The sequence below is a fragment of the Homo sapiens genome, chromosome 17 (assembly GCF_000001405.40).
Source record: "Homo sapiens chromosome 17, GRCh38.p14 Primary Assembly".
Classification (NCBI taxonomy): Eukaryota; Metazoa; Chordata; class Mammalia; order Primates; family Hominidae; genus Homo; species Homo sapiens.
In genome coordinates this window covers 18,723,160-18,745,657 of record NC_000017.11, presented here as the reverse complement: position 1 = coordinate 18,745,657, position 22,498 = coordinate 18,723,160, and the positions used below count along the sequence as shown (strand labels likewise).

General features: G+C 45.9%; 1 protein-coding gene and 1 pseudogene across 26 annotated transcripts in view; both read right to left on the bottom strand.

Moving 5' to 3' along the window:
- FBXW10 (F-box and WD repeat domain containing 10) overlaps window positions 1–1,604 on the bottom strand; it is a 35,296-nt gene extending 33,692 nt beyond the window's left edge. For 11 of the 18 annotated variants that reach the window (XM_017024020.3, XM_047435121.1, XM_047435122.1 and 8 more), the window contains exon 1: window positions 843–1,604. In XM_017024020.3, the coding sequence (XP_016879509.1) occupies window positions 843–1,413 (571 nt within the window). In that variant the 5' untranslated portion in view covers window positions 1,414–1,604. Of the gene's footprint in view, window positions 1–262 lie in introns of all 18 variants that reach the window. The other 7 variants (XM_047435126.1, NM_001411059.1, NM_001267585.2 and 4 more) reach the window with 2 other exon arrangements.
- A 7,941-nt stretch (window positions 1,605–9,545) lies between these two features.
- TRIM16L (tripartite motif containing 16 like (pseudogene)) overlaps window positions 9,546–22,498 on the bottom strand; it is a 38,115-nt pseudogene continuing 25,162 nt past the window's right edge. For 5 of the 8 annotated variants that reach the window (NR_172637.1, NR_172634.1, NR_172633.1 and 2 more), the window contains 4 exons: window positions 17,900–18,133; window positions 14,423–14,588; window positions 13,524–13,619; window positions 9,546–10,781 (listed from right to left, as the gene is read on the bottom strand). The product of NR_172637.1 is annotated as a tripartite motif containing 16 like (pseudogene), transcript variant 3 (transcript). Of the gene's footprint in view, window positions 10,782–13,523; window positions 13,620–14,422; window positions 14,589–17,899; window positions 18,134–21,826; window positions 21,889–22,498 lie in introns of all 8 variants that reach the window. The other 3 variants (NR_172638.1, NR_172639.1, NR_172640.1) reach the window with 2 other exon arrangements.

Sequence of the window (22,498 nt, the reverse complement as noted above, 5' to 3'; positions counted from 1 at the left end):
CGGATCACGAGGTCAGGAGTCCGAGACCAGCCTGGCCAGCATGGTGAAACCCCATCTCTACTAAAAAATACAAAAAAATTAGGACATGGTGGCACGCACCTGTAGTCCCAGCTACTTGGGAGGCTGAGGCAGGAGAATTGCTTGAACCCAGCAGGTGGAGGTTTCAGTGAGCCAAGATCGCACCACTGCACTCCAGCCTGGGTGACAGAGCGAGACTCCATCTCAAAAAAAAAAGAAAAGACATACAGAATCCTGGGCCCACCTCAGACCTGCTGAGTCCGAAGTTCTGGGGGAGGAGCTTGTTTTAACAGGTCCTGCTGGAGATCCTGATACAAGCCACAGCTGGAGAACTACCACCCTAGACTTATTTGGCCCTTAAGCTATCTCCAGCCTTGGAGAAACTCTACTTTAAGGTTTCATTTCATGGATAAGCAAGGAGCATGGTAGAGTGAATGAAAAAAAAAAAAAAAGCCCTAAGTTTTGACTTCTTGGTCTGGTTTCTGTGCAGGGCAGCTGAAGAGAAAAACAAAAGCTTCCCCTTTACAACCCTCTCGAGCTCAGTCCAATCCCTAAAGCAGGAACGACACCAGCATTAAGGGGTCAGGGGCAGGGACCAGCCATTTCTGGGCCTATGAGATGCAGAAATCCATGATAAATGCTTGTGAGTTAAAAGTTGTGTACTTCCTCCTGCATTGATCATTTTCAAGAAGGAAGTTACACTCAGTCATTTCTCCTTTGGTAAACAGGATCGGGTGTCAGGACAAGGTGTCAGTTCAAAAAACCTATGCTGAGTTCTGTGCAATCTCTGTCTACCTATGTTGTCTACAACTGCAGTTCCTTACAGATTTCTGAAGCCTTGCCTTCTGGTCTTCGGGGGCCCTCTAGTCTCTGCCTGTGGCCTTGTTTACCTGAGATATTGTTCTCCTCTCTCAGAAACAGGACTCTGATCACATTGGCAGCAGTGAGCAGTAATTTGGGGTTGCACATCTGCAGCAGTAAGAGAGTATAATTCGCCTTGGTCCACTGGGTGCTGTTCGCAAACCAGTACAAGATCTCTTTCATCTTCTGTTCTACTGTTTTATCCAACATTTGGTTCAAGGAGGACTTCACAACTTTCCCCTCTTTCTTGCTGAGGTTGATCCGGGACCTGTTATAGATGAAATCCTTTCCCTGTGTGGTCTGAAGGATATTTTGGAAATAGTGTAACAAATATAAGCTATTTAACTGCTTCAGAATGCCAACTAGAAACCTCCTCTGTGATATGTCATTGATCCTGCAGAACCACTCTTTGGTAGAGAAGATCTTCCAGGCTAAGACACACGTCTCACACTTCCGGCATAGAGGGATGGAATCGGTTCCCTTCTCACAACGAAAATAGGGGGCATTCTTGAGCCTTGATTCCAGGTTTTCCATGATCCTAAGATAACCAGTCCATTTTAGCCCTGCGCACTTGCAACGGCAACGCCACCAAACACTAGAGGAACGGGGGGAATGAATAAATACCCCAGTTGTGCCTTTTCTATTACAAACGTCTCCCAGAGCAAAAGTAAATGGCTGCCATGGATGGAAAGCCTATCTCTCTCAGTAACTGCCAGCAGAAGTCTGGCTTTTTGTACAGACCTCCTTGGAAACATGGCTTTACCGTAAATCTCCTAAACCTGGCACTGCTTTATGTGGAGGCAGTTGCTGTATATTCTGAAAGAGCTGGTCATCTCATTTCTAGAACAACAAGAATACTGTTAGTCAAATTTAAGTAATATGTGGACTATTACTGGTATTGCACTTTAATTATTGTTGTTATATATGGCTTCTGAATATTCATGAATATAAAATAAGATGCAAACTTCTTATGTTTATATCTGTTCAGTTACAAACTGGCTATCCCAATGATGCTAAATATGTTTATATTCATTTTCTTAAGTCATCATCAAAGTAAAACCAGAAATGTTTAATGTAAATTTAAGTTATTTAACTGCTTCACAATACTAACCAGAAATCTCACTGTAGTCAAAGGGCCCAGGCAAAACATATTGGGCAGCTCACAGAAAGAGTTTCAAAGTCATGCTGAGATAATTCTCCTACTGCAGGTAAGACTCGGTTCAAACATTGACTCTGGTACTTAGGAGCTATATGGTCTCGAGCAGGCAACCTGTCCTCTCTGAGCCTCAGTGTCTCCATCCTAGTTATGAGGATGGAGAAGATAAAGGTGGGTAATAAAAATGATAACTACCTTCTAGGATTGCATTAAATATATGAGATCAGTTGTTGCTGCTATTGTTACTGTTACTAAGTATTATTACCCTAGATAAAATCAAAAGGTTTGCAATATTGTGTGCCTTTCTAATGCCCATGTTGAAAGACCAGGCACAACCAGAGAAAGGTAATGGAGTCCATCGCTGGGGTTTTGTTGGCAATGGCAGTCACATACTAGGGTCAGAATGGGGAATAAGAATCAGGTTAAGAATGAGATCAGTTCTCACAGCTCAACCTCTTCTGTCTGAAGAGGAATCTGGAGAAAAGGCATGAGTAGATTAATATTTAATTAATCGGGAAGGCCAGACAAAGGAGGGTGGCAAAGAGAAGGGAGGCCCGAAGCAGACTCTTTGGATCTGTAAGGCGAGCACGTTACCCTAAGAAGTGCTGCAAGCTAAAAGTAGCTCTTTTTTTTTTTTCGTAATTAACTTGTTTATTTATAATTGACAGATTATAAATAGCTTGTTTTTAAAGATTTAAATAAATTAGGATTTTAATCTATGAGGCTGACATTCTTCAAGGAAGCATTTTTTTTTTTTGGAGGCAGAGTCTCGCTCTATCCCCCAGGCTGGAGGGCAGTGGTGGCATCTCGGCTCACTGCAACCTCTGCTTCCCGGGTTAAAGTGATTCTCCTGCCTCAGCCTCCCGAGTAGCTGGGATTACAGGCATGGGCCACCATGCCCAGCTGAGTTTTATATTTTTAGTAGAGACGAGGTTTTGCCACGTTGGCCAGGCTGGTCTTAAACTCCTGACCTCAAGTGATCCGCCCGCCTCAGCCTCCCAAAGTGCTGGGATTACAGCGTGAGCCACCACCCCAGGCCAAGGAAGCAGTTTTAATCACCCAACTCAGTCTTTATTTCACATTTCAGGGCCACAAACTTGGGAGTCAGAGAGACTAGATTTCAGACATGAGTCTTATCCCCTCTCCCTCAACACTGCACACACACGGTTCTCCTCAAACACCTGTGGACCATAGTATGTTGTTGCCCCTCGGCACCTCCTTTTCTAAACAGCTTCTTTGAGAAGATGACAACGGGCTGCCTCCTGAGAATAGAGGGACAAGGGGTGCTCTAGAGCAAGTGAGTGCGAGAGGACAGCGCCTCACTCCCTTCCTCCCTGCCTCCTGCTGGCCTGCACCTTTCAGAGGTTGGGCCATACACCTGACTTTGGGGGGAAGTTGAAGCCATTTGGGATCTGATGTTACAGTTAAAAATGTGGCCTTAGGCCAGGCGCAGTGGCTCATGCCTGTAATCCCAGCACTTTGGGAGGCTGAGGCAGGCGGATCACGAGGTCAGGAGATCGAGACCATCCTGGCTAACACGGTGAAACCCCATCTCTACTAAAAAAAAAAATACAAAAAATTAGCCGGGTGTGGTGGCAGGCGCCTGTAGTTCCAGCTACTCGGGAGGCTGAGGCAGGAGAATTGCGTGAACCCAGGAGGCGGAGCTTGCAGTGAGCGGAGATGTGCCACTGCACTCCAGCCTGGGCGAGAGAGCAAGACTCTGTCTCAAAAAAAAAAAAAAAAAAAATGCGGCCTTGGCACAGGGCAGGATAGATGGGCCAGATGGGATAGGCCAATGCGGGGACATGGCGCCAGTGGTACTCAAACAGGCAGGTGGGCAAATAGGCCTCATCAGACCGACTCACAGGAGTCCAGTGGGGGAGAGCACTTCTCCGAGGAAGGCTATAGGATGCGAAGGACATCTGCGACCTCTCAAGTATTTAGGCTACGAGCAGCCTGGAGGCTTCATGCCAGTCCCCTATCTTTCCTTTCTGCCCTGTTTTATTCACGATCCCGATAAAACCTCCTCAGCACACAACCCTAAATCTGCACTTGCTTTTCCTGCCTTCCCACATAGTATGGAGAAGCTTGGAAGGTGCGGCCGCTGCTGGGCCAGATAGAGGACAATGTGTCACACCCATCCGGCTCTGATGTCACACTTGACACTGCACCAGAGGACCTGAGCCTCTGCTGGCTCCAGCCCAGCCCCTTTGCCTTCCCCTGCTGCCACCTGGCCTGGCCAGCCAGCAGGGACTCAGGAAAGCACACAGGTTTCAGAGTAGGAGGGCAAGGAATGAACTGGGCTCTGCCACGGAGCAGCTTCATATGCCTGAATAATTCACTTGCTAGTCTCAGCCTGCTCCTCTTCCATGAAGTAGAGACCATGGTCCTACCTAGCTCATAGGTGGCTGTCGGGGTCAAATGAGTAGACTTTTACACCATGTGAGGAGCTAACAATTATTATTAGTATCATTAGGGAGTGTGGAAAAAGTGTGATATCTCATCTCTCGCCTTCCCATCATGTGGTATTACACTTGTTGGAAGTTGAATTTTAAAAAGCTTGGCTGGGCGCGGTGGTTCACGCTTGTAATCCCAGTACTTTGGGAGGCCGAAGTGGGCGGCTCATGAGGTCAGGAGATCGAGACCATCCTGGCTAACACGGTGAAACCCCGTCTCTACTAAAAAATACAAAACATTAGCTGGGCGTGGTGGTGGGTGCCTGTAGTCCCAGCTACTCGGGAGGCTGAGGCAGGAGAATGGTGAGAACCCGGGAGGTGGAGCTTGCAGTGAGCCAAGATAGCACCACTGCACTCCAGCCTAGGCGACAGAGTGAGACTCCGTCTCAAAAAAAAAGAAAAAAAAATTTAAAAAGCTTTTGTTCATGAGAAACCAGCGCATGCACATATATACACACTTTCTTTCAGGTGATCATCAGGGTCACTACTTAAGTTATTAATGTGGGGGAAAGGTTTTTCACCTAAAATGACTGACCACTGCTATATTGACCCTTGGTCCTTATGAAATGATCTGTTCTCCCTCCTTTTCCAGTACTTGGACTACTTCCTTCTGGGAGACAGTGGGATTTTCCCAACAAGACTACAGAGCAAGCCAGAAATAGAGATTAAAAACTAGGCACATTCCAGCAAGGCAGGGATGGCCAACACTCTACCCGAGCCATGCACAGTCTGTGCCCTGCATGGACATATTGGGGGCATATCAACAGCAGGTTGCCCTGCAAGGGCCTCCTCCCCAGCTGCCAAGATGTCTAATCACAGGTGCAGAGGGAGGGAGTCAGTGCTGAAATCTGAGGAAGCCAGGAGAAGCAGGAAAGACATGCACTACCTTTTCTTCCATCTTTCATCTGGGGCTGGAGTGGTGGCCCCTGGAATGGAGGCAGTGGCTGCACAGATGGGGGGAAACCAGGGACTAGGTCACTCAAGGACACAAGACAGAAGCCAGTCCCTAAAGATGGCCTGCGAAAACGCAGCAGCACCCTAGGACACAGAGTGAGAAACCTGTTTCATACATCACCTTGTCTATTATTGTCTTGAAGAGCAGATTCCTATTTAGCTCTTCACATATGAACAGTTTTACTTCAGTTTAAATCCCCTTCTTGTGATCAAATGACACAGCTAGTTAGTTCCTGGGTTACTCTTTCTTAGCGTCTAGCACAGCAGCTTGCGCATTATAAATGCCACGTATATTTAGTCTACTTAATTTAGGGACATCATTCCAAAAACATGCTGAGCCAGACTGAGGGGATAAGAGCTCCGTGATTGGGCCAATCCCATTGTCATCATTTCATCATGCCTCTTGGGAGAAAGTGGGAATTTACTTATAATTCATAAGATACTCAGAAAGGAATGCTATATACACTCAGATTTCAAAAAGTTGAGACAAGAATAAATTATGGACGTGGTGGTTAAAATTACATTCTGACTCTGCAATTACAAATGGTCTGGTAATGGAGCAGAATCATGTGGCACCAAAGTGAGCTCTTGGTGAATTCAGATTTTTGTTCAGTGTTTTTTTTTTTTTTTGTAAGTCTACATAATGGAAGAAAAGATAAGGATGGGTGAATACAAAAGAGTGGCATACACACAGCTAAGGAAAATGCCAGAGAATATAAAATAAACCCTTGTTCTATTTTTTTTCTATTTGTTTTAGTCATTTTTCAGTTTTTAGACCAAGAAAAAGAAAAAAGATGCGCCCACTGCTTGAGGCAGTGACAGAAGGCAAATAAGTCCAACTCTTTTTTTTTTTTTTGAGACGGAGTCTTGCTCTGTCACCCAGGCTGGAGTGCAGTGGTGCAATATCGGCTCACTGCAACCTCTGCCTCCGGGTTCATGCAATTCTCCTGCCTCAGCCTCCTGAGTAGCTGGGATTACAGGCACGCACCACCATGCCCAGCTAATTTTTTTGTATTTTCAGTAGAGACAGAGTTTCACCATGTTAGTCAGGCTGCTCTCGAACTCCTGACCTGATGATCCACCTGCCTTGGCCTCCCAAAGTGCTGGGATTACAGGCATGGCCTCCCAAAGTGCTGGGATTACAGGCATGAGCCACCGCACCCGGCCCAAATATGCCCAACTCTTAATTCTGCTTTGCTCTTCCATATCAAGAAGAAAGGTCTTGAACTTGAAAGCTAATAGACAAAAAGTTAACAGGAAAATGAAGTTCAAGACAAGTAAAGAGACACCTAAATGGTTCCTTTTATATAAGCTCAAGTATTCTGGTCTAAGTAAATTACATTTCAGGAATCTGACACAACTTAATGACATGACTGCAAATCAGGTGGGAATCTTTGAGAAACTAGGGAGAATGAGAGAGGACGGTGTCTTAGTCCCATTGTGTTGCTATAAAGGAATACCTGAAGCTGGGTAATTTATGAAGAAAAGAAATTGATTTGTCTCATGGTTATGCAGGCTATACAAGAAGCATGGTGTCTTCATGGCCATTCATGAGGGATCCAACCCATTATCCAAACACCTCCCACCCAGCTCCACCTCCAACATGGGAGATCAAATTTCTGCATAAGATTTGGAGGGGACAAATATCCAAATTGTATCAAATGCAGACAGGCATCTCGATTTTTTTAAAAATAAAAATAAGATAGATTCTGGAAACAACAGACTGGTAAACATGGTATTAACCCACAGCAGAAATCTAAAGTGGTTTATCAAATATTTTGTGAACATTTAGAAAAGAAAATGACCATGACCAAGCACCAACAACCCGCAGGGATTCAATAAAATAAGGCAGTCCAAGCTGATCCCAATTTGTCTTGAGCTCATTATTAGACAGATAGATCAAAGAAGTTCAGACATAGCATATCTTTTTTTTTTTTTTTTTTTTCTGGCTCTGTTGCCCCGGCTGGAGTGCAGTGGCATGATCTCAGCTCACTTCAACCTCCACCTCCTGGGTTCAAGCAATTCTCCAGCCTCAGCCTTCTGAGTAGCTGGGATCGCAGGCACGTGTCACCATGGCCGGCTAATTTTTGTATTTTTAGTAGAGTCAGGGTTTCACCATGTTGGCCAGGCTGGTGTCAAACTTCTGACTTCAGGTGATCCTCCTGCCTCAGCATCCCAAAGTGCTGGGATTACAGGCATGAGTCCCCACACCCAGCCTAAACATAGTATATCTTGATTTCTGCCACTGAAAATGTCTTTCATCATGTTCAGTGGATAAAGGTGAAAAAGGTGGGGCTACATTATTGCACAGTTCCACCCGTGCATAATTTGTATATAATTAAACCTAGAAGCTACTGACTGAGTGCCACAAGATTCTAGATTTGGTCCTAATCTCCTCGATATATTTATCAACAAGGATAAGACTTAAGAAGAAAGGGTTATGGCCGGGCGGGGTGGCTCACGCCTGTAATCCCAGCACTTTGGGAGGCCGAGACAGGCAGATCACAAGGTCAGGAGATCGAGACCATCCTGGCTAACATGGTGAAACCCCGCCTCTACTAAAAATACAAAAAATTAGCCGGGCGTGGTGGTGGGCACCTGTAGTCCCAGCTACTCGGGAAGCTGAGGCAGGAGAATGGTGTGAACCCAGGAGGCGGAGCTTGCAGTGAGCCGAGATCGTGCCATTGCACTCCAGCCTGGGGGACAAAGCGAGACTCCGTCTCAAAAAAAGGAAGGGTTACTAATTGTGCAGGTGACACTAAGCTAGGAAGGAGAGCGAATATACTGGATAAGGAATCATGAATCTCAAGTATCTCAGCATAAAGCAATGATGTGATGAAATTAAAGTAAAATCATTTTAAATCCTATACTGTAAACATCCTTAGATACAAATATAGGTAACAAGTCAAGTTATGCTAAAGTAATATACTCTTGAGACAGGCCAATCAGACTGATTGGAGAAAAAAAGATTTGCCTTGACAAAGGTCACAGGAACAGACTCAAAATTTATATTTCTGGTGAATCCCACCAGAGACTTCAGGTTATAGCTTCAGAAACCCATTTAAAGACAGTTTGCCATTTGCCTAAAGGCTTGATGAATGCTTGTGATTAATCTTAGGAAGCTTATCTGTCAAAAGAAGAATGAAATAATCAGGGGGAAAGGACTGAGAACCATAAAGGAAGGTGGAAAATTTCATATGAAAACAAGAACACCTGGGGCGTGGGTATTACGTGACAGTTCTTAAAAGAACCATTCTTTGAATGAGAAATCAGACAAGTCCACATATTCCAGGTTACTTTAGAGGAGAGGAGTAGGGCCCCTTTCCAGAGGTCACAGGGACTAAAACTCAGACACTGTTAAGACATTTCTTCTAATCCTTGCTGTCCCCAAATAGAAAGGACTGCTGTGTGAGGCAGTGAGGCAGTGAGCCAGTGCAAGGCAGGATGGCTGAGTCAGATGTTGTGTGTGGATTTGCAAACTTCAAGAAGTTTCTCTGCTATGCATTTTATTCCCTTTTATACAATGTCCATGATCTAATAAGGAAGGTGGCCGGGTGCGGTGGCTCACGCCTGTAATCCCAGCACTTTGGGAGGCCGAGGCGGGTGGATCACGAGGTCAGGAGATCGAGATCATTCTGGCTAACACGGTGAAACCCCGTCTCTACTAAAAATACAAAAAATTAGCCGGGCTTGGTGGCGGGTGCCTGTAGTCCCAGCTACTCGGGAGGCTGAGGCAGGAGAATGGCGTGAACCTGGGAGGCGGAGCTTGCAGTGAGCCGAGATTGTGCCACTGCACTCCAGCCTGCGCAACAGAGCGAGACTCCGTCTCAAAAAAAATAAAATAAAATAAAATAAAATAAAGGAAGGCAATATGATGTGGTGGTTAAAAGTCCAGTGTCATTCTACCCACACTTGAATCCCAGCTCTGCCCCTCACTCACCATGTGACCAGAGTGACCTTGAACAAATTAGCTAACTGCCCCGGACCGCAGTTTCTCCATCTGCAAAATAAGGATGATATAAGCATCTACCCAATGGGTGTTCTGTGAGGACTGAGTTAATGTGCAGGAAGCACAAGAACGGTATCTGGCACATAGGAAATACGCAAGTTAGCAATTTATTATGATAACTCTGCAATCTTTTCAGCCACTCTTGAAGGTTCCTGGTCATCCATTCTGGGCACAGTGTGACATTTACCTGAACAGAGAGGAGAATGGCACTAGAAGATGAGGGAGATTTGGTGCCTAAAAATTACTACAAACAGGCAGGGCGCAGTGGCTCACGCCTGTAATCCCAGCACTTTGGGAGGCCGAGGTGAGTGCATCACGAGGTCAGAAGTTTGAGATCTGCCTGGCCAACATGGTGAAACCCCATCTCTACTAAAAATACAAAACGTTAGCTGGGTGTGGTGGCAGGCACCTGTAATCCCAGCTACTCGGGAGGCTGAGGCAGGAGAATTGCTTGAACTCGGGAGGCGGAGCTTGCAGTGAGCCAAGATCACGCCACTGCACTCCAGCCTGGGCAACAGTGCGAGACTCCGTCTCAAAAAAAAAAAAAAAAAGAATTACTGCAAACACATAGAGAACAGCACCATATGGAGCAAAAGAGAGCAGCTGGAGAATGTTTTCATTCAGAGACCCCATAGGATTTCAAAAGCCAGCTACCATCAGCAGTTATTTTTGCCCCCAAATCACCCTAAAATGCAAATCCCATCACTGTAGCTGGCAAAGGTCTGGGATATGGCTCCTGGAGTCTAGGGAGCAGTCCCCACCAAGGACGGTGCTGGCTTCTCGGGTTCCTCTCCCAGATCTACAATCCGGATGGCGTTTTCCTTCTTGGAAAGCCAGAAGGCAGCATAGACTGGTTCTGAAAACTTGCAGGCAAACTTGTGAACCAGAGTCATGGAATCATACTCTACGCCATAGAAGGAAAGGATCCCTCCTGGGAAGTCAATATAGACCCCGAGCCTCCAGAAAGGGCCAGCTTTGAGTGGGGTCTCCATGTCACTGTACCAGGCCGTGAACTCCTTCCCGTTCCATTGGAGGCTCCAGGAGAAGTTGTTTCCGGAAATGCAACTGCTGCGCTCCTCCCCTTTCTGGTCGATGCCTTTGCAGGTCAGGCCAACATAGGTGCCTGCCCCGAAGATCTCCACCTCAAAATAGTACCTGTGCAGGTACAGACTCTGCTGGGACAGCACCTGCCGCCAGTGCAGGAACCTGCTGGGGAGGTCCGGGTAGGGATGCTCCCAGGGCGTGGTGTTGGTGACCTTGCGGTTCTCCTCCTGCAGCCGGAGATACTTGTGTGCTGTGTCCGGGTCGAACGTGATGTCATGCACATCTGAGGAGACACAGAAGGCAGGAGAGTGGTTCAGGAACTGACAGCTGATTCAGACAGAATGCTTTAAACCCAGCTGGGCTCCAAAGCACATATGAGAAAACATCCATTTCTCTGTTCTCTATTTACCCAGGCTGCTGTTTCCCTAGGAAATGAGGTGAGTGAAGACCAGAAAACAGAGAGCACAAATCATCTACTCCCTTCCCTTATGAAGCTCAAATTGCTTGACATTGATGATGTTATTTGATGAACCGAATCAAGAAATATATTAATTTACTCATTCATGCATTCATTCATTCATTCAACAAACACGTATTGAATGCCTGGCATTATCCTATCCAGTGTTGGCAAGTGTTTGGGGAAGCAGGTACTCCTATACCCACATTTGATCCATTCATTCATTTTTTTTTTTTTTTTTTGAGACGGAGTCTCGCTCTGTTGCCCAGGCCGGACTGCGGACTGCAGTGGCGCAATCTCGGCTCACTGCAAGCTCCGCTTCCCGGGTTCACGCCATTCTCCTGCCTCAGCCTCCCGAGTAGCTGGGACTACAGGCGCCCGCCACCGCGCCCGGCTAATTTTTTGTATTTTTAGTAGAGACGGGGTTTCACCTTGTTAGCCAGGATGGTCTCGATCTCCTGACCTCATGATCCACCCGCCTCGGCCTCCCAAAGTGCTGGGATTACAGGCGTGAGCCACCGCGCCCGGCCCATTCATTCATTTTTTAAAATATTTAACCAACATCTTAAAAATGAATGAATGGATCAAATGGAGCATGAAGAATTCTCAAACACGCCCTCATATTCTCCTCCCACTCCCAAAGAATAATAGGGTCTCATGCACCCCATTGCTCAAGTCAAGCTCTATGTCATTTCTGACATTTGTTTTGCCCTCATCCTCTTCCCCTATCCTCACTACACACACAGGAAGCAGTAACTCCTACGGATTCTACCACTTCTCTCCAGCCCCCTGCTTTACCCCCGACCTAAGCCACCACTCATCTCACTCAGACTAGTTCAGCGGGTTTCTGACTGGTCGTTAGCTGTTCTCTCTTGCCCCCTTCAAGACCTTCTCCACAACAGAGCCATGCTGCTTGTTTCCAGCTGTAGGCTGAGGCCAGTCGTGTTATTCTAGCTTAATAATTCTAGTTATTCATGGTGCCCCTTGCTCTTATGATAAAGCAGCAACCCCTTGCCCTGGCCTACCAGGCCCCACGTCCCTGGTCCTTTCCTGTGTCTCTGACTCTCTCCCTTGATTACTACATTTCCACCGTGCTGACCTCAGACCTACTCAACACTCAATCCTCTTTGAGCCTTTGGTACAGCCTGTTCCCTCTGAGATGTGATCATGCCCTACTCTGAGTCTGGTGATTCCTACCAATCCATTCAGGCTACAACTGAGAGTTCATGTCCTCGAAGAGGCCCTTTGTGACTCTAACTCACTCTCTCTCAGAGCACCATGGCGTTTTAAACTTGGCACCCCTCTCCATTTGTAATAATAGATATTCATGTGAGTGTTTGTTTCCTGCTTGTCCTCCCTCTAATCTATGAGCTTCACATTTTGCATGGGATTCTTCTCTAGCTCAGAGAAGATGCTCAGTATATACTTGCCAAATGAATTAGCATATTAAAGGCTATTAAAACAATCCCATAATTAAAAAAGTTCTCACTGGTGCAGCGGCTTATGCCAACACTTTGGGAAGCTGAGATGGAAGAATCACTTGAGGCCAATAGTTTGAGACCAGCCTGGGCAACACAGCAAGGCTCCATCTCTACAATTGTTTAAAAATTTTTTTTTTAATTAGCCAGATGTGGTGGCATGCGCCTGTGGTCCCAGCTACTCAGGAGACTGAGGGAGGAGGACTGCTTGAGTGTGGGAGGTCAAGCCTGCAGTGAGCCATGATCAAGCCACTGTACCCCAGTCTGGGCAACAGAGACCCTGTCTCAAAAAATATACATACATACATATATATATGTCTACATGTATATATATGTAAACATACAAAATATGTGTTTAGTGACTGTTTATGTCAATTAACAGAAGGCTATTACTAGTTAAGTTCTTGAGGAATCAAAAGCTACACGTGGATGTTCAACCATATGAGGGATTGGTATCCCAACCCCTACATTGTTCAAGGGTCAACTGTGCAGTGTTTTAAAAATGCTAATGGACCAAGTCAATAACACTTAATGATAGGTCAATGAGTTATGCAATTCTGGCCAAGTCATACATAGAAATGAATCACTTGGTAACTAGCCAGGACTCTTCAAAGTGCTATGGTCATGAAACACAAGGATTGAAAGACTGATCCAGACTGAAGGGGACTAAGAAGACATGGAAACATCTGTGACCTTGGATTGGACTTTGGGCCAGAAAAAAAGGGCATTGATGAAAGACTTGGTGAAAGCTGAATAAATTCTGTAGATTAGTTGATAGCATTGTAGCAATGTTATTCCCTGGTTTTGATCAATGTATGGTAGTTATGTAACGTGTTAACATTAGGAGAAACTGAGTGAAAGATATATGGGAATTCTTTGTCTTATTTCCGTAATATTTTTGTAAGTTTCATATTATTTCAAAATGAAAAGTTAAAAAAATTGTTTAAATTAAATTTTAAGAAATGTATCATTTAGGGATAGACATGAAGTTGCAAGAACCTGAAACCTAGATGAGAGATGGCGGTTCTGACTTAGCAAAGCACTGCACTGATATCAACAACTGGAGAAGGGGGTGCCGTTCACAACTTACATTGGAGGAACTGTTCCCTGGTGCTGGGCTCAGGTTTGGAAGTCCAATATTTGCGCTGAACAATGGCAGACACTTGAGTTCTGATGTCATACTCCTCTAGAAAATCAAGAGAGTTGTGAATGCACACCTGTCCAGGTGGTCAGGAGAATCTGCAAATCAGGACTTCCCAGCCACCCTTCCCTGGGCTTCCTGGGGAAAGAAGGGGCTGAAGCCTGGTAATGTTTCACAGAAATACGCTCAATAGACTACATTTCTTTCATAGGTAAGGCATAAACCACTGAAAAAGTGATCCAGACCGTCTTGGATTTAACTTAAAAGTATAGGCATCAGCAACCTGGGAAGCTACTCACAGAAATGCCAGCCGATGGCATAATATAAGCATGACTAAGTGTCCTTCTCTGGGTCTCAATTGTAAAAGAAAATCATCAAGATGAGAGTCCATTAGTAACATACCCTGTCTGAAGCATGGCTTTGAAAATGAGACATTTGGCTGGGCACGGTGGCTCACACCTGTAATCCCAGCACTTTGGGAGGCCGAGGTGGGCGGATCATTTGAGGTCAGGAGTTCGAGACCAGCCTGACCAACATGGTGAAACCCCGTCTCTACTAAAAATACAAAAATTAGCCAGGTGCCTGTAATCTCAGCTACTAGGGAGGCTGAGGAAGAAGAATCTCTTGAACCCGGGAGGCAGAGGTTGCAGTGAGCTGAGATTGCGCCATTGCACTCCAGCCTGGGTGACAGAGCAAGACTCTGTCTCACAAAAAAAAGAAAAAAAAGAAAAAAAGAAAATGAGACATTCCCCTGATTTCATCCTCCCTTCCCTGACTCTCTCTCACCTTCCTATCATCTACTGCTAGAGACACACTCACTATAGTCCATGGCCCAGAATGTGTCTCACCTTCCTTGGAAAACTCCTGGAGCTTTTTCTTATAGTTCTCCAGCAACTGGATTAAGTGTACAGTGGATTCCGTGATAACTTTGCGGATGCCCGAGAGTTTATCCTTCAGCCCTATGTAAACACTAGGGAAGGTGATGTCTTCAGTGTTCTTAAACTTGCAGTACTCCTGCAGAAAAGGAAACAGCAGAACTTGCTGTGGTTTCTGTATTTCTAAACTCGGGCTTCTCTCCTCATTAAGTCACTTTTTGCATCTGTAAAATGGGCTGACGGTAATGTGTCCTTCACAAAGAAAGTACATGTAAAGTGTCAAGCTCAGGGTCTAACAAAATAGATAGCACTTCTCTAGCTGCTAGACCCTCAGAATAAGTGGGATTTTAAAAAAAAGAAGTGAGAACGTGGGATTTTAAAAATCAAGATGTACTAGATGGCCATGAACAGCTCCAATACACAGTCCAGACTGGGGACCAAAAAATAAAGAACATTCTTGCTTTGTTCATGCCGTCAGTACTTGTTTTTTGACAATTTAAACACAAGCCATGGTGGAAAATGGAGGAGCTCTCAGGCAGGAGTGCTGCCTCTTCCTTGTCAGTTTCATCCAATGCATAAATTTCTGTAATTCTTGTACCTTGCTTTAGTATTTGGAAAGTGTTTTCACACTGATAATCACATAGTTTCATGTAAGTTTTGAAACAACGTGTGATCAGGAAAGATGCTTTCAGATATAACACAGTATCAAACTTCAGCTGCAACTGAAGCATTAAAGAGCAGAACAGGTACAGCAGAAAACATAGCAATGAAAACAGTTGTATGAAAATGATTAGATAGAGCCATGGAAATCAAAACCAGAGAATTGATAGAGAAAAGGGTAATTCAACATTTTAATGCTATATACTGTACAAGACAAAAGTAGCATTTTAAATCAGTGGGAGAAAGGATAAGTTATTTGGATAAGTTATTCAATAAATCTTGTTTTGAATGCCTAACCAAAAATTTGGGGGGAAATGTTATCTTTTGCCAAAATAAATAAATATCTTTTTTTTTTTTTTTTTTTTGAGACATAGTCTTGCTTTGTCACCCAGGCTGGAGTGCAATGGCGCGATCTTGGCTCACTGCAACCTCTTGCCTGCTAGGTTCAAGCGATTCTCCTGCCTCAGCCTCCCAAGTGGCTGGGACTACAGGTGTGCGCCACCATGCCTGGCAAATTTTTTTTATTTTTAGTAGAGACAGGGTTTCACCATGTTGGTCAGGCTGGTCTCAAACTCCTGACCTCATGATCTGCCGGCCATGGCCTCCCAAAGTGCTGGGATTACAGGTGTGAGCCACCGTGCCCAGCCAATAAATAGTTATCATACACTAGAATTTATTTTATATGTATTAAAGTCTTTTATGTTAAAAATAAACTTACAGGCTGGGTGCAGTGGCTCATGCCTGCAATCCCAGCACTTTGGGGGGCCGAGGTGGGTGGATCACAAGGTCAGGAGTTCGAGACCAGCCTGGCCAAGACGGTGAAACCCCATCTCTACTAAAAATAAAAAAAATTTGGCCAGGCGCGGTGGCTCACGCCTGTAATCCCAGCACTTTGTGGGGCCGAGGCGGGTGGATCACGAGGTCAGGAGATCGAGACCATTCTGGCTAACACGGTGAAACCCCGTCTCTACTAAAAATACAAAAAATTAGCCGGGCGTGGTGGCGGGCGCCTGTAGTCCCAGCTACTCGGGACGCTGAGGCGGGAGAATGGCATGAACCCAGGAGGCGGAGCTTGCAGTGAGCCGAGATCGTGCCATTGCACTCCGGCCTTGGGGGGAAAGAGCAAGACTCCGTCTCGAAAAAACAAAAAAAATTGGCCGGGCGTGGTGGCTCACGCCTGTAATCCCAACACTTTGGGAGGCCGAGGCGGGCAGATCACCTAAGGTTGGGAGTTCAAGACCATCCTGACCAACACGGAGAAACCCCGTCTCTACTAAAAATACAAAAAATTAGCTGGGCATGGTGGCCCATGCTTGTAATCCCAGCTGCTCAGGAGGCTGAGGCAGGAGAATCGCTTGAACCCGGGAGGTGGAGCTTGCAGTGAGCAGAGATCGTGCCATTGCACTCCAGCCTGGGCAACAAGAGTGAAACTCAGTCTCAAAAAAAAAAAAAAAAACAAATAAAAATAAAAATTAGCCAGGTGTGGTGGCGGGCGCCTGTAATCCCAGCTACTTGGGAGGCTGAGGCAGAGAATTGCTTGAATCTGGGAGGCGGAGGTTGCAGTGAGCCGAGATCGTGCCACTGCACTCCAGCCTGGGTGACAGAGCAAGACTCCATCTCAAAAAACAACACACACACACACACAAATAAATAAAGTTACAAAACGAGAAAAGAGAAATAATTTATATACTCTTTGGGTAGATCTTAAGGGAAACTTGTGAGGCGGGAAGCCAAATGGTTATTAAATGGTTATTCATATTTTCTTTGTGTTTTGATATTGAAAAGCAAAGAAACTGACAAACGCTTTGTTGGTGTTTTTGTCTGTCTTTCTCTTTTACTCATTCAAAAGTTAACTATGTTGTACTTGTGTAAGGATTATGGATTTTTTTTCTTCTTTTTTTGTACTTTCCAAGTTTTTCACAATAAACATTTGTTTTTTGTAACTAGCAGAGAATTTTTTCAAAAATGCAAGCAAGAAAAAATTGTATTTCAGAATATCAGAGCTTGGATGGAGCCTTCTGAATTATTTACTCCAGTGGGCTTGTTGATAAATGAGAAATTTGAGACTCAGGGATGTGAAGAGCTGTTAACAGAGCTGTTTTCTGACAGATTCAGGATGTTGCAGCTTACCCCCAACCTAGTGTTCCTTCCTCGAAAGGTTACATGTTCTTTAGATCTCGTTCCAATGGCTTACGGTTTGATGTCTAATGATACATTGTAATGAAAAGCATTTGCTCTTCTGAGCCCTCCTCAATTACTCCAGCCACAGCCCTCTCTGAAAAGCAGCAGGCTCCAGTCTCATCCCTACCAAGCAAACCTCCATGCAGTGGACTGCTGGAGCGGTTTATAAAACATACTCACTGACTCCATCATTCTCCCATCTGAAACCCTTCCCAGCCATACACCTGCCTGGCCGTGCCAGTCTCATCACTCTGCACCCAGTACCCCAGGCTCCACCCCTATTAAAGTACCTTGGCTCCCCAAATCAGCTGTGCTTCCTCAAACCTCTCTGCCTTTGCATATGTTGTTCCCTCTACCTGGAACATACTGCACGTTGAACCTGACTCATCTTCCGGGACCTGCTTCAAGCTTCCCTGCTCTGAGCAGTTCTCCCTCCCTACCCCTCCTATACTCTGCTGAATGAAGAATCTGCTTCTCTCTGTTCCCACTGCTCCCTGTGCACACCATTTAACAAAAAACAGTTCCATTCACAGATGGCCATGGGCCTAGCAAAGAGAGGGTGCTTCATGGGGCAGCTGTGGGATGCTTCTGCCCCCACAACCCCCATACCTCCAAGAACTGGACAGTGTTGCTGATGGCCGCCATCGTCTCCAGCTCCTGCTTACTCTTCTCCATCTCGGCACTCCTGTACTCCAGGTGGGCCTTGATACCGTTGGCCTGGCTCAGCGCAGCTTGCTCCTTCTCCTCTAAGAAGAGCATCACATTGGCCTGGGCCTTCCTCACAGCAGCAAGGAGTTCCCCAAACTGCATTTCAGCCACTGCTTTGACCTCTGACACCGACACCTGGCGGGGGGTGGGGGTGGAAGGCAGCCAAACATTTCTTAGTGAGGCATCCAACTTGATAGAAGCTCAACATACAGAAATGTCAGAAACACATATATTAGGGAGCAGTTCCCTATTGTAAAAGGAATCCTTTATTCTCATGTGAATTCCAGGTTCCTGGAAAAAGGATTTACGTATTAACTTGGTCTCCTCATCCATTTGATGAGACAGTGAATTCCTCTATGACCTCCGAGATCCCTCACAACTCTGACACTCTGGGATTGTTAGTCAAGTTTCCGAAACTGATTTTCCTACCAGAGCAATGCGTGTATTCAGTCTACTTGATAGTCATATTTCAAGAGGTAAAGAATTTGGCTTTTTTTTTTTTTTGTATAATCAGCATGAATTAGCTTTCTTAGCATTTCATTATGCCCGGTTAAACTGACCACTGAGTCCATCAGAGCCAAATGCATGTCTAAGATGATACTGTCTCTACCACATACAGAATCCCCATAAAATGTTTAGGGTGCAGATGACCATGGCACCCAAGCAATTCCAGGACAAGCATGTATATGCAGAACAGAATGTGACATTCAAATAAAATATAAAAGAAAACCCATGTGAGAAACATTAAGGTTTTGAATGATGGGGGACATGCATGTGGACTCTTTTGCATGGTAAGCATCCTCTATGAATGCCTTCAATCAATATCATGTTTACAACATCTTTCCAAGCTCTGAAGGTTTCCTCTTCTCTGGTATTCTTAAGAATTGGTGTAGACAGCTGGGCGTGGTGGCTCATGCCTGTAATCTCAGCACTTTGGGAGGCTGAGGTGGGCAGATCATGAGGTCAGGAGATCGAGACCATCCTGCCTAACATGGTGAAACCCTGTCTCTACTAAAAATAGAAAAATTAGCCGGGTGTGGTGGCGGGCGCCTGTAGTCCCAGCTACTCGGGAGGCTGAGGCGGGAGAATGGCATGAACCTAGGAGGCAGAGCTTGCAGTGAGCTGAGATTGCGCCACTGCACTCCAGCCCTATCCCATCTGAGACTTTCTGAGCACCCCTCCAGGTGCTGTTTTCTCTTTCTCCTCCCAATGTTAAGGGCAAGCTCTGAACATCAGGGCTCCAAAGTGAGTCAAACAGCAGATATCCTTGGGCAGAGGCTTCAGGGGCACCTCCCATCCCTGGCAAGGAAGGAGAGAGGGAGAGAGGGAGGGAGAATGAGACCCAGATCAAAAAGGGGAGCACAGTAAGGAAAGGACTCAGAAAGGATGGGATTCTGGGCCCAGGCTTAGTGGGAACCTAGAGGTTTGGAGGGAGATGGGAAGAAAAAATGATGACACCAGATAGGTCTTCTGCCTGGCTCAGGCCCTGGCTTAGGCCAGGGCTCAGCAATTCACTCCACGAGAATGGTCTCTGATCAGTCTTCAATCTGGTGGCAAAGGGAAGAATAAGCAGGGGAAAGAAAGCAAGGGGTATCCCTACTGGAGGGGGATGGTGGGAAGACACAGACAATCCCCCTACATTCTCTCTCTCTCTTTTTTTTTTTTTTTTTTTTTTTTTGAGACAAGGTCTCCTCTGTTGCCAGGTTGGAGTGACACAATCTTGGCTCACTGCAGCTTTGACATCCCAGGCTCAAACGATCTTCCACCTCAGCCTCCGAAGTAGCAGAAACCACAGGTGCATGCCTTCATGCCCAACTAATTTTTATATTTTTTGTAGAGATAGGAGCTTACTACGTTGCCCAGGCTGGTCTCAAACTCCTGGCCTCAAGCAATCTGCCGTCCTTGGCCTCCCAAAGTGCTGGGATTACAGGTGTTATTACAGGTGGGATTACGTCCAGCCTACATTCTCATTTTTATGCCAACTTTTCCATCGCCTGTTGGCTTCCTTGAGGTTAGGTAGCTGGACAGAGCTGGGAGCAAAGAAGCTGTGGTAATAGGATTAAGGAAGAGCGGGGATGGTAGACTTTATCCAAATTCTTCCAGCCCACACCAAGAAAAGCTTTTAGACAGGTGACGGTGTTGAGAAGCCAGGGCAGCAGGAGAGGCGATTTGGGAAACCTGAGGCTATCTGGTTTTGTGGCTCCCTCCGGAGCCCTTTTGTTCAGGGCTGGCCCTCACCCTTGGGAGGAGGAATAGTAGCACCTTAACCAGCTGCTCAGAAAGACTGCAGGTGGCGACAATAGTAGAGAAGGAGGCAGGCAGAGAATGGGCTCTGGACTGTGGATGGGAGGCTCAGAGCACTGTCTGAAATGAAGACCTGAGAACCAGGAAAGCTACCTGGGCCCCACCCAGGCCCCCCAAGTGGCAAACCTGCTGCCTGGGGCTCTGCCAGGTATTGGCTCTGCAGCCCTCTGACACTTCACCTCTCTCCCTCTTCCCACTCTCCTGAGAATGAGGACTCTCTGCTGCTAGCCTGGTCACTCTTCTAATTATATAACAATAATCATAAAAACAACCAACATGTAGTAAGTTCTTACTATGTGCCAGGCACTTTTCTCCTAGCAACCCTAAAAGGTAGGTACTATTAGGGTCTCCATTTCTTAGATAAGGAAACTGAGACAGTGATAAATGGACTGATTTGCCCAAGATCACACAGCAAGGTTTGAACCAAGACTGTCTGTCTCTGGAGTCCAGCCCTTTGACCACCACTCCACACTGCCTCAAAATAGGGCCCAGGGTTGGGGATCCATGTGCCTGCAGTATAGCACTGAGCTGGCACAGCCTGACCTCTCCCTCTGGGCCCTGGCACATTCACTAGGATGAGCTGGGGAGGTACAATGGGAGTTCAGCTGAGCTTTCAGCCCATGGGCTGTGGCTGTGTGGGGGTTGCAGGGAAGGACCTTTAAGTTCAGCCCATTAAACAGAAGCCCTCCTAAGACCAGACGAGAGACAGGGCTTAGCCCCTTGTTCACTGTGGGCACCAGTTAGGGTAACATCCTATGCCCATAATGGACTATAAATACACAGGCTGCTGCTGAGCAGGCGACCAAGAGGGAAAGAGGCCAAGACTCCCAGCAATTCCTGAACCAACTGTTTACAGGTGTTGCCTCCTTGACATTGCAAACACTGTAAATTCTGATATATTAATCATTACTAGATTTAAATCTAAAAGTCAAATTACATTTCCATATGGCAAAGAAGTAATGATGAAGAAATCTACCTCAGAAGACAGGAGAGTTTTGCTTATAACCATTTGGGAGCGGGGGCAAATGGTGGTGGTGGTGTTTGATCCAGGCTCTGCATTAGCTAACGTGTCCTAGTTCCCCGGCTTACTCACCCTTCATGCCCACTCAGGCTCCAGGTAGCCAGGCTCTAGGAGTCACAGAGGCCACAGAGTGCTCCCTGCCTGCAGTGCCCGCTCCCGATGACCTCCAGAAAGCAGGAGCAGGACACAGCATGGGAACCAGCATGAGGGTGTTGTGGGAAAGGAGCAGAATCCTGTCTACAATTATGACCTGTAAGTTCCTCATAGAAGCACGATAGCATGAGGCTAAGAGGCATGAGACTAAAGACAAACTCCGGATCCAAATCCTCACCCCCGGCCCCAACTGAGGCCATCCTGAGAAAGGATAGTGGAAGGGAGGTGTCAGATGATATTGGTGGATTGAGGTTGACTTCTGCTGTGGCCTGGCCCTCATTCCTAAACCCTCCCATTGAGAAACACTTCTTTCTTGCATGTAAATGTAATGTGCAAAGGGCATTACTTACCACGAAAATGATGACAAGCAGAAATAGTACAGAGAGGAGAGGCCTCAATACATTCAAGGAGCCTGCAGGTAATGGTTTAAAGATTTGAGGGTGGTGTACATGCCTATCAATATACTGAGTCATTCTTAGGTCAAGGGAGCAACAACTCTAGGTTCTCACATTCCACCAATCTAGATGGCCCTAGACAAGTATTGTCATCTCTCCATGTCTTCATGCCCCTTGTGCATGGTAGCTATTGTAATAACCAACTCCCCTGGTCATCATGTACTTATGAGAACTGAGGAGGGATCAAAGTGTCTGAAAATTAAAGAGCTGGGAAACACAAGACCCTCCATGTGGTTCTACAGGTTATCTTGAGCCTGGAAATCCATTATCTCTGAAGGTTTATAAGACTTTAAAGGGATAATTCTCTTTCTTCCTTTAATAAGATATTGTGGGTAAGAAAGAGGTGTTTCATCCTTCAGTAGCTAGTTGGTTGTAAACACCCAGGAGGTGAAAATTAAGTTGAAATGAATACATGCATTAGGGGTAGATGAATGGATGGATGGATGATGGATGGAATCATTTATTCTCAGGATATAAAGATGACAATGCTGATTCACTTCCATAGGGTAGGTGTTTTGCATTCTCTCTTTTTTTGAAACAGAGTCTTACTCTGTTACCCAGGGTGGA